Source organism: Homo sapiens, chromosome 2 (genome assembly GCF_000001405.40).
Source record: "Homo sapiens chromosome 2, GRCh38.p14 Primary Assembly".
Classification (NCBI taxonomy): Eukaryota; Metazoa; Chordata; class Mammalia; order Primates; family Hominidae; genus Homo; species Homo sapiens.
In genome coordinates this window covers 177,671,026-177,683,830 of record NC_000002.12, presented here as the reverse complement: position 1 = coordinate 177,683,830, position 12,805 = coordinate 177,671,026, and the positions used below count along the sequence as shown (strand labels likewise).

Sequence of the window (12,805 nt, the reverse complement as noted above, 5' to 3'; positions counted from 1 at the left end):
GGTCCAAACCTGGGCTCTTTCCACTCCACCACTTCCCTTTCTATTTCACTTCACAGTCAGTGACTGTAATGTTGTAGAATAAACTGGGTTCTTGTCACACGACCAGAAAAGATTAGGCAAGCAGACACTTTGAAGGGTGAGAGGTTATGGAATTTATTGGGCAAAAAGGAAAAAGACTCAGCAAAGCAAGAGAGGTTCCTGTTAACAGGCCCCCATCTCACAGACTGAATCCCAGGTTCCCACACAGGAACAGAAGGGGCCAGGCTCCTCCCTACTGCAAACAGCGCAAACTTCCGGAGGCCTCACCCATCCTCCCAATGCGCAGGCGGGTTGGAGATTCTCCGGGGAGCTCGTTTTACTTGGCTATCTCAGTAATATGAAAAAGGCACGACCATTGGTCATGAAGAAGGGAATGGGTCAAGTGAAGAAGATAAGAAAGTTATATGAAGAAAAGAACTGTATACACCTGCCCACCCAAAGTAGAAGGAGTTCCTGGGCCCTTCTGTGTAATTGGGTTATGCCATCTCGCCAGTTGCCGTAAGGTTGTCTTGGAGATTCTTCCATGCTGTATGTAGTATGGCCTTGACCTGCATCATCTTGAAAGGATAGATCCAGGACCTGTCTTTGTGTCTCTAATACAGAAGTGAACTATACATTTGTCTTCCTGACCTGTCTCCTTTCAAGTAATTTTAGTAGTTAGTCTGACCCATTGGCAAGAAATCCACACAGTTGGTCAGTTGGTGATAAGCACCCCAGGCCAGACACAGAGGAGCCAGTTGTTCTCAACCTCTTGTCCTTTGTCCCCCAGTACAGAGGGTCAGCACTAAGTTTCTGAGATCCTAGTCTGATTTCTACCATAAATTATATGTCATGATGGTATTTTCCAAATATGTCTGATTTCTACCATAAATTATATGTCATGATGGTATTTTCCAAAGTGTAGTTTTTGAAACATCAGTACTATGTGGAATTTTGTGATGAAATAAGGTTAAACAGGCTTTTCTACGTCCATATTTCTCAGAGACTTCAAAGGCTAATATAGATGGTGTCTCCAAGAGAGGTATATTAAGGGCAGCATTTCTCAAACCTACTTGGCAGGAACATCTTCACATGGAGCACCTCTTAAGTCTAGCATTTTGAGAGATGCGTTTTGGGAAATGGTGTGTTAGGATCTCTTAAATATTCTCTCATTAGCAAGTGCCAAGAGGATGAAAACTTGGGAAGTGATTCTTAAATCAAAATGGTGATGTCCTCTTTTTTTCCTTTTCTCACTAAAACTGAAAATCATCTAACTAAAATATTCCTTGCTTGTCTTTTCCGTATCTACGCATCTCCAAATGGATTTCCATGGGTGTATGTGTGAGTTGTAAACCAAAAAGTGTCTGTGACAGGACTTAATCAATTTAGAAGTTTATTTTGCTGAGGTTAAGGACATGCCTGTGACATAGACTCAGCAAGTCCTGAGAACATAGGCCCAAGGCGGCTGGGCTACAGCTTGGTTTTATATGTTTTAGGGAGACATAAGACATCAATCAATACATGTATGATGTACTGGTTCAGTCAGGAAAGGCGGAACATCTTGAAGTGGGGAGTGGCTTCCAGGTCATAGGTGGATTCAAAGATTTCCTGATTGGCAGTTAGTTGAAAGGGTCTATCTAAAGACCTGGAATCAATAGAAGGGAGTGTCTGGGTTAAGATAAGGGGTTGTGGAGACCAATGTTTTTGTTATGCAGATGAAGCCTCCAGGTAGCAGCCTTCCAGAATAAATTGTAAATGTTTCTTATCAGACTTTAAAAGGTGCCAAGCTCTTACTTAATTCTCCCCTGGATTAGGAAAAGGACCTGGAAAGGGAAGGGGATTCTCTACAGAATGTAGATTTTCTCCAAAAGAGACAGCTTTGCAAGGCCATTTCAAAATATGTCAAATAAATATATTTTGGGATAAAATACTTTGATTTCTTTTAGGGCCTGCTGTCTGTCATGTTGATATCTTATTGCTACAAAGTGTCTGCTTTGTCAGTCTTAAGGTCTCTGTTTTAATGTTAATGCTGGTCAGCTGTACCTGAATTCCAAAAGGGAGGAAGGAATAATGAGACATGTCCAACTCCCACTTCCCATCATGGCCTGTACTAGCATTTCAGGTTAATTTAGGAATGCCCTTGGCCAAGAGCAGAAGGCCATTTATTTGGTTGGGGGCTTAGAATTTTATTTTTGGTTTATAGTGTCAAGCACTTAAAATGTTGAGACACTATGCTACATGCTTTCCACATGTCATTCATTTAATCCTCACAGTAACTCTGTGAGTTAGCAACTGAAACCCCCGTGTTAGAGATTAAGAAATTGAGACTCAGAGGATTTAATTAACTTTCCAAAGCGAGTTGCTGAGCGAGTGTTTAAACACCGTTACTTTCAGACTTCATAGCCTATGCGTTTAAGCACTGAAATGGTGAAATAGTTATTTTCTAACCTGGAAAAAAATATATTTATCTTGAATTTACTACCAGGGAGTTTATCTTATCTTGGATCATCATGCAGCTCAATTCTTTGTTGGATGATAAAAGAACATTCTAGAATTGTCCCCACTTTTTATTTGTCCTTGCCTCCTTTCTCTGACTTTCAGTAAGTATCACTAGGGCTTCACAGCACATAATCCTAAATGCCGCACCACATTGTTTTCTGTTTTATGGCTCTATAATCTCCTCTGTTGTAAATACATTCAGAAATGATTGTGGCTTTTCCTTGAAGCCTCAACATTTTTTAGAAAGTGATTTATTTTGATAGTGCTTTAGCCTCATGATTTCAAATATTAAGTTACTTGGTTCAAGTGGTCTTATGTTTTTCCCATAGATGTGTTTATGTCACCCCACAGACTGGGAAATCTCATTCCAGTTTTTTTTTTCTTTCTTTCTTCATTTGATTTTCCTGCAGGAGGAGAACTGAATTCTTTGAACTTGTCAGTAAAGGAGAATACGATTGGAACATCAAAAACCATCGTGATATATTTCGGTAAGAAAAAGCTCTTGTTTATGTGTTTCTTCATTATTTGGACATTTAGTCCACATAAATTTTCTGACAGTACTAAGAGCATAGAAGTGATTTTTAAAGTAACAAATCTTAGCTTACATTCAAAACATTCAGAGATCAGTTGAATAATTAAAGAAATTACTGAGAATGTCTTTTCATCTTATAATTTATTTTTGTCTCAAAAATCTGCCATCAAAATTAGAAAATGAAGTTCAAATTAGTTCAGTTTTGGCAAGCCATGATTTCTTCTGTTTCCTGGGGAAGTGGGGGTGCAAGTTGGGTGGAGAAGGGATTTTTGCATCCTAGAAATCAGAGTTACATAGCACAAAGGAAGTGGGGAGTAACTTTTGCTTTTCTTTAGAGACAATAGGCATTGCGGATAGAAAACCAGTCAGAACAATATTGGAGGTGGAGATAAGGAGTCTGTTCTAGCCTTTGCCTGGGACGTCTTCCAAGTTGTTTAGAAAGGACAGTAGCAACCCACTCTGTTTATGGGGCAAATTTTAGCCTCTCTTGCAGCCACTCCAGAGAGTGGGCACTATTCCTCTTTCTCTCATACCCCATCCTTCTACTCTCTCCACCTCAACCAGACCTTCTGCTGTCTTATCCCTGTTCTAACATTGCTAAGTTTTGCTGGGAGAGCTCGTGAGGCCAGGGTTAGGGCACACTGGGTCTGCTCCACAACCAGGCAACTACTGGATTACCCCAAGCGGAAACCTTGACATAGTCCTGCCGTATCTGCTATATAAAATCTCTGGCACCATCTTCTGAACACAGGCCACTGCCTGCCCCACCCTCTGTAGCTGTCCTCATGTCACCTTCCTGCAGCCCTCTCCCCAGAGGGCTCTAGTTTTTTTCCTCTATGCTTTAATATTCCTCTGTATTATCTTTACAGGCCTTTTTCTTCATTTTTCATCTTCAAGACCAGCCCCTCCACTGGTGCCCTAATTCCATTCCTTCCACCTCCTCGCCCCTTACCCCAACCTGGCTCTATCAATCATGCTCCTTCAGCTTCCATTTTCAAAATCTGTTTTATTAATCATGACCTTTCTAGACCTAAAAACACACTTCTGCCTCCCCAATCAAAAAGTCATCCCTACAGGCTGCCTTTTCTCCAGACCCCATCATAGTTTTCTCCTTCCCTTTACTCCCACACTTCCTAATTTCTTGCAAGGCAATTTCTTTCTTTTTGTATAATTTTTAATGCCATGAGTAATTATATGAATATATATTTTCTGTAACAAATCAAACATTGCTAATAAGCCCCCAGATCTCCTTTGAGCTCAACCCCCAATTCCCATACTGGTTGCACAGCTGTATTTTGTTATTAGTGTATTGTGTTTTTCCAGACCATTTCCAAAGCATTTACATACACATGCACCCTTAGGAAAAATACTGTTTAGTGTGTATTTTGATTGTCTATTTTAACATAAATTGTATATTTACATACCAATGTGAACATGGTTTTCCACTCAACTACATGCTTTGGAATTCTTTACATGTTTTTACCTCATCATCTTTTATCGTTGCACAGTATTCCAAAATACAGATATACCACAGAGTATTTACCCATTCCTTACTGAGGAATTAAGTCTGTACTATGTGATTTCTGCTTCTGTTGAACCACAGTCACCTTCCAAGTATTAAAAGCTACAACCTTTGTTCTCTTCAGCTTCCTGATCTCTTTATAGCCCCTAATTGTGTTGGCCTCTCTTTTCTTAAAACCCTCTACAGCCTTGGATTCTGCAAAGCCATATACGCTTCTGGATTCTCTCCTTTATTTCTGACTCTTTCCTTCTTAGTCTTTTCTAGCCCTTCTTCCCCCCACCATCCACTAAACAGAACTGTCCCCCAAGGATGTATTTTTTATTCTCTTCTCTTTTTCCTCAGCATCCTTCTAGTGTCACTACTATCTCTTCTCAAATGACTCCCAGCCCTTTTCTTGGGCTTGCCTCTCTTCTGAGCTCTTTTCCTGAAATGCCATTTCTGAGTTTCTCTGCCTAGATATTTTCCTACAGAGATTTTCAAACTGTTTTGACAAGGAACCCCATATGGAAGAAATATCTTATTTGGAAGCATGTTACATAAAATGGAGGTGCTCTGGGTTCTCCCCTCTCCCCTCATCTGCCCTCCCTCCCCCATTTCATGGTTACACTCTGACCACCTTGCACCAAGGGTGGTGCTCTAAGGGAGCACCATCTGTAGAGAATTTTAAAATAGTAATAAAACCAACTAAAAGTCAGTCTGCTTTTTATTACCACCATGTGCCAGCAATTCTAAATAGTCAATGGTGAGATATACCTCCTAAGAAATGTCTTTTATTGGTATAAATTCCAAACAATTGCTGAGGTTACTGTTAAGATAAAAATAATTGATATGAAAGCTTCAAATAAGCACATGTTTATTATTTATCCTTTCTTTGCACACGTAATGTAAGTTAATTCTAAGAATGCCCAGGCATACAGCTGGCTCTTGACATAGGTAGATGCAGCTATACACTTTCAATAGTAAGTTCCTAACCATTTAGAACCTCTCAAACTCTCTGGGTGTCGTTTGTGTTTCTAACCTTGCAGAACTCATATTCCTGCTTTTAAAGACTATATTCAGAACAAACAATGATAGCACGGTGATGGTAAAGATGAAGACATACAACTTGAGATACTTTCATTCTGTCATTTTATGTGATCATTCGTGGGTTTTATTCATGGTTAAAATTTAAAACTGAAATAAGTGCAAACTGCAAAGTGTCATATTTTTGTTAGGCAAGTGCAGATTTCAGTCTACACAAAATCTTTGTACTCAATTTGAATATATCTTTAACATTAAAATTTGTTCATTTTAAATTGTTTTACAACTACAGAACAAATCAAGAAGATAATGATTGTCACAAGATTATTATTGAAATAATTTTGGCATATAGAGGAGAGGTATGTTAACTCACTATAAACTGAACTAGAATTATAGGGACCTCAGTCTAAAACAGTTAGTAAAAACTCTCTCCCTGGTCTTTTACTCTCAAAAAGATCTTTCACTTCTTGAAGAGCCTTAATCTAAAAAATAACATAGAACTGCTCATTTGTTTTCTTCAGTTCTTCCTTTGCAATCTTCCATCCCTGTGCCTCCCTTCCCACTCTCCCTTCCTTGTTTTAGGCTCCTATCAATTTACATCTCCAATGAGTCTCCTTCCTTCCACCCTCTCCTTCTTCAAACCATCCTCACATCCACCACCTAAAGTTTCCTCCCTAAAGGTCTATCCAGGTCCCTCCTGAGTCCCCAGGCTTAGTTGACTCCCCAGTGCCAGATGGACAAAGGTTGCAGCCACTCTACCCGTCCTACCTCTCAGCCTGTCCTGTCTCCCTTCTCTGCATGGACTTCTTGCTCCACTGTATTCATTGAAGTAGAGATTCTTCTGTCAGACAAAGGATTCCAATCCCAGCTTTGACACTTAATAACTGTACAACCTTGTGCAAGTTACCTAACGTTTCTGAGCCTTATTTTTTTAACTTTAATAAGAGATAATAATAGTATCACTACCACATATAGAGACTGAGTCAGTCACCCTGTGGAGACTTCCCAATAAGTGGTAGCTATTAGAATTATCATCTGAGGACCTAGCAGATACTCAATAAACTTGTTGATCAACTGATTAATGGCAATATGCATTTGAAGAGAAAGTTTCAAATTATCAACTGGACAGAACCTAAGTAATTATCCACATTATGATACAAATAGGCAACCTCATAGAGATTATTTGCTATGCAGGAGAGATGCTGAGAAATCCAATGCTTTAGCCAGTCTTGTCCCCCTCCAGTACTGTCAGCATCCATGTGTAGTAAGAGGGCATCTGGTAGCTTTGTGATAGGCACAGAATCCTGAATCATTTACTCACCTTGGGAAGGGAAAATGACTTAATCTCTGTGTGCTTCTGTTTACTTATCTGTAAAATAAGGATAATAGCAACTACCTCTGGGGTGGTGATGACGATTCATTTAGTTAGTAGTTTAGTTAGCAGTTGGTTAGTAAAGCACTTAGTACAGAAGCAGACACACAGTAAGCAGTGTAGAAATGCCTGATACAGAAGGTCAAAAATGAATAGACTGATGTGTCTCCCTTTGCGTAGTTCTTAACACAGGGATGTTTGGAATTAGAGGTTTCATCAATGCTGCTCGAGTTGAGAGGGCTGCTGATGCCGGTGCCACCTGGTTGTGCCTTGAATGACCTATTGTTATCTGTGACCCTGCCTTGTTCCCTGGAGGGGTTTCCTGTGGGGGGACCCCCCTGCCATCTAAGCATGCTCTGCCATCTGGGCAGCAGACATGTTTCCAAGGCATTAGATCTGGCAGGGTATGAAATGTTAACACCGACATCAGGACAGCCCTCTGACCTTTGGTTGCATACCCCTTTCTTCCAAAAGCAGTTAGCCAAGATGTGGTTCCCCAGCTCAAATCCTATGTTACTTTTCATCACATTCTGCTGGTTATCAGCACAAAGAAAGCAGATTTGGGACAGAGTGTGCCTTATTTTTCCTCCTCCCACCACATTAAATTATATATAAGCACCAGAGCTATCTACAATTTGAATTGTTCCCAGTGTTTCCATGGTTCCGTATGAATTATGGTTAACCCTGCCCCTCAAAACTCTGATTCAGACCATTCCTGTGCTTTCTTATGTGCCCAAATTAATGAGAGCTGGAGCTGAGTATGTTTCTTCTTCATAATGCTTATAAACCATTGTTGGAGCCAGGTAGTAAACTGGAGTGAAATGATACAGCTCTTGCCCATAAATCTTAGCTCTGTAGAGCAGATGAAAATGAAGGAGCCCCTTATGTGGCATGTGCCTTGCCTCTTTGGTGTGGGTTTTCTTTTGTTCCCATCAATCAATGATAAGTTGGTAAGTAGTTTCATCAGCCATGTATATAGTGTTATATACTGATTCTCTTGCTTATAGTTTAAAAAAACCCAACAACATTGTCCATTATAAATTATTTTAAGCAGAGCTTGCTTAGCTCAGGTGTACAGAAAGTAGTGCTTTGCTTTCCTTGATTTGCTGCAGACAAAACAAAAGGGCCACCAGAGGATGTGTGAGAGCTTTGTCTTCCTAAGCAGCGTGGCCACATGATGGAGATGCTGAACACAGGGACTATAAACAGTGCTGCCCCTTGTTGAGGAAAGGAAGATGTGAGCTGGCCTCGTTTCCATTTTATTTTATTTATTTATGTATCTAGGACGGGTTTGTTTAGGAATGCAACAAAAGATTATTCAGGCTGTTTTGTTTGGTTCTGTTTTTCAGATCAATGTTAATGACAGCCTGTGACCTTGGAGCCGTGACCAAACCGTGGGAGATCTCCAGACAGGCAAGTGGTGATTAATGGCAGGGCTCAGCAGAGGAGGGACTGGGGGGCGTAAGGGGGACACAATATTCCCAGAGCCCTGACTACCAGGCACTGAAACCCTAGTCAATTTGCATCAGTATTAACATGGTGTAAAAAATAGCAGGAGGCTTAGGCACGACACAGTTTATTGCACAGCCCTTTTTTTTTTTTTTTATCGTGCTTTCACTAAGCAATAGTATTTCTGACTCTGTAAGATATTTTTAATGTGCGAAATCTGAATAATACATTGACCATTAAGGCAAGAGTTTCAAAGATAGGATTTTTGGCAAGATAATCACATCTCAGTACAAAGTCTTGTTTTCTTTTTTTTTAATATCTGAAAATAAAAGGAGGCAAAAAGGAAATTATATTTTTCTTTTTAAATATTATTTAGATATCAGAAACCTCTGTGGTCAAAATATGCAGTATCCAATTTAACTTGCAGAAAAACAAACCATGCCTTTACCACCTATCTGATTTCTCTGCCATAAAGCATTAGTTCTATAAGAATAGTTTTCAATTTAAGTAACTACCCAACTGAAGACCAGGGATTACTGATGGTATTTAGAGGTTAATCGTTATGTGCGTTTTATGATGCACCTACTGTGTGGGGTCCAGAACAGTAACTTGGCATCTAAAGACTTGACGTTTTAGGGAAAATAAGATGCATTTCCATATCAATAAATAACTAATATTTATTGACTGCTTTATATATACTATCTCATTTAATCCTTAAAATTGTAGTCAGCTGAATAATGGCCACCCAAAGATATCAGGTCCTAATCTCTGGAACCTGTAAACATTACCGTGAAAGGAAAGAGTATCTTTGCAAATGTGATTAAGCATCTCAGCTGCAGACTGATCCTAGATTATCCAGGTGTGCCCTAAATCCAATAACAAATGTCCTTATAAGAGGGAGCAGGGGGAAATTACACACTCAGAAGAAGGCAATGTGAAGACAAGGCAGAGATTGCAGTGATGCAGCCGTGAGCAAAGGAAAACTGGAAGAGGCAAGGAACGAATTCTGTCCAAGAGCCTCCAGAGGGAGCACATCCCTGCTGACACCTCAATTTCTGCCCAGTGAACTGATGTAGAACTCCCGGCCTCCAGAACTATGACAGAATACACTCCTGTCGTTTTGGCCACTAACTTTATGGTAATTTACAGCAGCCTTAGGAAACTAATATGGTTATTATCCCCATTTCACAAATGGGAAAAATGAGGCTTAGAAAGGATAAGCAGCCTGAGTTTAAACAGCTTGTAGGTGGCAGAGCTAGGTATAGATTCTAGCAGATTAGGCTCCAAAGCTTTCATTCTTAGCAGTGTGTTATGGGTTCCTTCACATGATGCATCAGTCAGCATTTTTAAATGATGCAAGCGTATCCACAGAATAGGCTATGTTATCATTTTACCCAAGATCTTAGTGGCTTTAAACAACAAATTGCTCACGAACATGGGCACCTAGGGTTGGCAGGCGCCACTTTGTCCTTATTCTGTATTGGGGCTGAAGGAACAGCCACTACCTAGATCATTCTGACAGAGGCCCTGGAAGGTCTTGCACTGGCAATTAAATGCTTCCCGCAACAATTCATCAGCCAGAACTTGTCACATGACCCCACCCAACCAGGAAGTACCATCCTTCTATTTGCTCAGAAAGGAGAAAGCCAGAAATAGTGAATGCATGACTACCAGAGTTTACCCTTCTCATCACCAAAAATGTGATTCATTCTCCCTCCAGCAGACAAAATATACCCATCCTTCCTCCAAGAAAGACAACCCAAATGTCCCATCAGTCACGGCATCAAACTCTTAAGTCCAGGATCTCTGGGAGATACATGCTAGTCTCTACAACAGATCTGGATGCAGATTAAAGACCTACACACACCCAAAATACAGAGTCCAACATGCACCCAAAGACTCCCATTCGGAAAGGGAAGAGATGAGCGATATTCATAGCAATGTGGAGTGGTGAGTGGTCCATGGCAACTCCAAAATCCCACTGGGTACTCACTGTGAGGTGTTCTACCATGCAGGGGACCCTGATTCTCTGGGAGATGTTCTCTGGTTCCTTTTTCCCTTGACCTTTCAATCCTCCCTGGGAAATTATTCCTTTCCCATCACCCTTCTTAGCTTTATCTGAAGGTCAAACTGCCTTCTTCTCACCTAAAGAAGGTTGAAGTCCCAACACTTGTTTTGTGTAATCATGGGCTTAGCGTTTCTTTGGCACCAAAACTCTCTTGTACGTTTAGTCAGCTTTTTATGTTTTTGATTCAAGTCCTTTCCATTTGCCCATAACCACATCCACATTCCATACAAACATCTTAGATTTTCTGTATTTATTTGCTTCTTTACATTTAGGAATAAAGAAATGTGGCAAATATATTTATTTCTTTCTCTCTTCTGACTTAATTCCTAGTGCCTTGGGCCTAACAGGCTTCAGTGAGAGAACCATATAGGTAAATCATTTAATCGAGCCATTTTTGTCCAGCTAGAAGGATATGCTGCAAACTACCTAATTCATTCAGATTCTAACTCTAGATGTCTTTTATTTGATTCTTGTTACAAAGCTGAGTCCTAATCAAACTTCGTCAAAGTGTATCGCAATTTTCATTTTCATAGTTTGGAATTGAGAAGCAATTTTATCTTCCATCCCTACAAGTCCCTGAATTTGCGACTATTTCCATTTCCTTTCATTCCTGGTTATAAGCCTGTTCCTCCTTTTCTAACTCACTTCCTGTAATTCCTCGCAAAACAGTCAATGGCAATCATCACATGCTACTAACATTTTGTTTTCTAATCTCATCTCCGAAGACTGTAAGTTTATTCAGAACATTGTTAGCTTTTAGTTATAATTGTACAAATTATTTTGCCATGGATTCTCATCCTTATAGCCTCCTCACTATCTTGATACCTGGCCCCCAAGCTGATGACACATATTTTAGGGTCTTTTTCTGTCTTTCTCTTCTTTTCTAACAGCAGCACCTCACTTCCGTACCAATTTTTGTATTAGTCAAGGCTAGGCTAGGCCTTGGTTCAGTAACAAGTATATTCTTAAATTCCAGTTGTTCAACACAAATAAAGGTTTATTTCTTGCTCACACTGTCCAATGTACATCAGGCAGTTTTCCAATAGAGTATTTCACCAATTGTGCTTTGGTTTAAATTTCAGTGTGACATATTTGAAGTTACAAAAAGTCACATAAAGCAGGATAATTGTGAAGAATTTGTGTGGTTGACTAGCTTCTTTCCACATCTCTGCCCACTGTTCATCTTACCCCCTCCCCTTTCCCATGTGGGAAGGCCTCCCTTCTGGGAGAGTTGGTGAGTAGACTGCAGGGAAGAGGTAGGAGGCTCTTCCAGGTATTGGGAAAAAGTGTAGTACTGGGGGAGGCTCCTGTAATAGGGATGGAAGGAGGTGGAGAGTGTGAGGAAGTTAGGAGGACTGAGAGAAAACTAGAGAAGAGCAGAAAGGGAATGGGGTGAGGTATGATGTGCCAGCACCTTCAGAAACCACAGTGAAACGCATGTCAAGGACTCAAGGAGCAGTAGCCCCAGGGAACAGGAAAGTGACAGGGCAAAGTACTTGCAAGGAAAAAAATTTCTGCCTTGATATTTTAGGCCGACTTGGGAGGCCCAGTAGCTGCTTGTAGGTGGTCTTCTCGGTCACTAGTGTAAATATTATTTTATTTTCTGGATGTGAGTTTCTGTTGAAAAGTGCAGAAACATAAGAGCTCAGGGAAATAAAACACAAAACCGTGTTTTTCCTAATGTTTCCATCGGAAAGCTTGTCACAGTTCTAAGCTAGCAATCTCATTCTTGTTTGTCTCCAAATTGATGGGTTAAATTTTTTTTTTTTTAATGCTCACTTCAAAATTTTAGGAAACATTTGGAGAAAACAATAGGCCCTTCTTTAAAAAATATTTCTCTAACTTCCTGGATGTTGATTTTTTAAAATTCCCTTTCAGAATGTTTTCTGCTGGGGTCTATTCCACTTTCCCTTCCTGCAACAAGACTCTAAGCATGTGGGTTTCCCCAGTGATTCCCCCAAGGCCTGATTAGCATCTCAATTTCCTTCTTTAATAAAAAATTCAATCAGTAACCACTTAATGTTCCTGATTGGGTTTTTAAGTACCAACAAAGCAGTTGTGCAAGTTAAGCTGTGAAAGGAGCACAGGGGAGATACCAACAAGTACTTGAGAAAGAGCAACGACAGAATTTTGTTTTAATTTCTTTTCTTTCCAGGGGCTACAGACCTATGCAGGACTCCCACCTTGAGGCGCCTGATGTGCACATTTACATTCTTTAATGCAAAAGACCTAGCTTAGAGCAATCTGAGGGAGAGTTCTGGGAACTGAATAAATGAGGTCATACCCTTAGGGGACCATTTCCTCTTCAAAGGAAGGCCAGAGAAA

At 40.2% G+C, this 12,805-nt stretch overlaps 1 protein-coding gene and 1 long non-coding RNA gene across 5 annotated transcripts in view; one reads left to right on the top strand and one right to left on the bottom strand.

Annotated features, from left to right (window-relative positions):
- The window catches only part of PDE11A-AS1 (PDE11A antisense RNA 1), a 49,968-nt gene extending 39,459 nt beyond the window's left edge, over positions 1–10,509 (bottom strand). Inside the window, exon 1 of the long non-coding RNA NR_136171.1 lies at positions 10,406–10,509. This is a non-coding gene — a long non-coding RNA (PDE11A antisense RNA 1). The remainder of the gene's footprint in view (positions 1–10,405) is intronic.
- Positions 1–12,805, top strand: part of PDE11A (phosphodiesterase 11A) — a 485,096-nt gene that overhangs the window by 424,509 nt on the left and 47,782 nt on the right. For all 4 annotated transcript variants that reach the window (NM_001077197.2, NM_016953.4, NM_001077358.2 and 1 more), the window contains 2 exons: positions 2,928–3,005; positions 8,313–8,376. In NM_001077197.2, the coding sequence (NP_001070665.1) occupies positions 2,928–3,005; positions 8,313–8,376 (142 nt within the window). The remainder of the gene's footprint in view (positions 1–2,927; positions 3,006–8,312; positions 8,377–12,805) is intronic.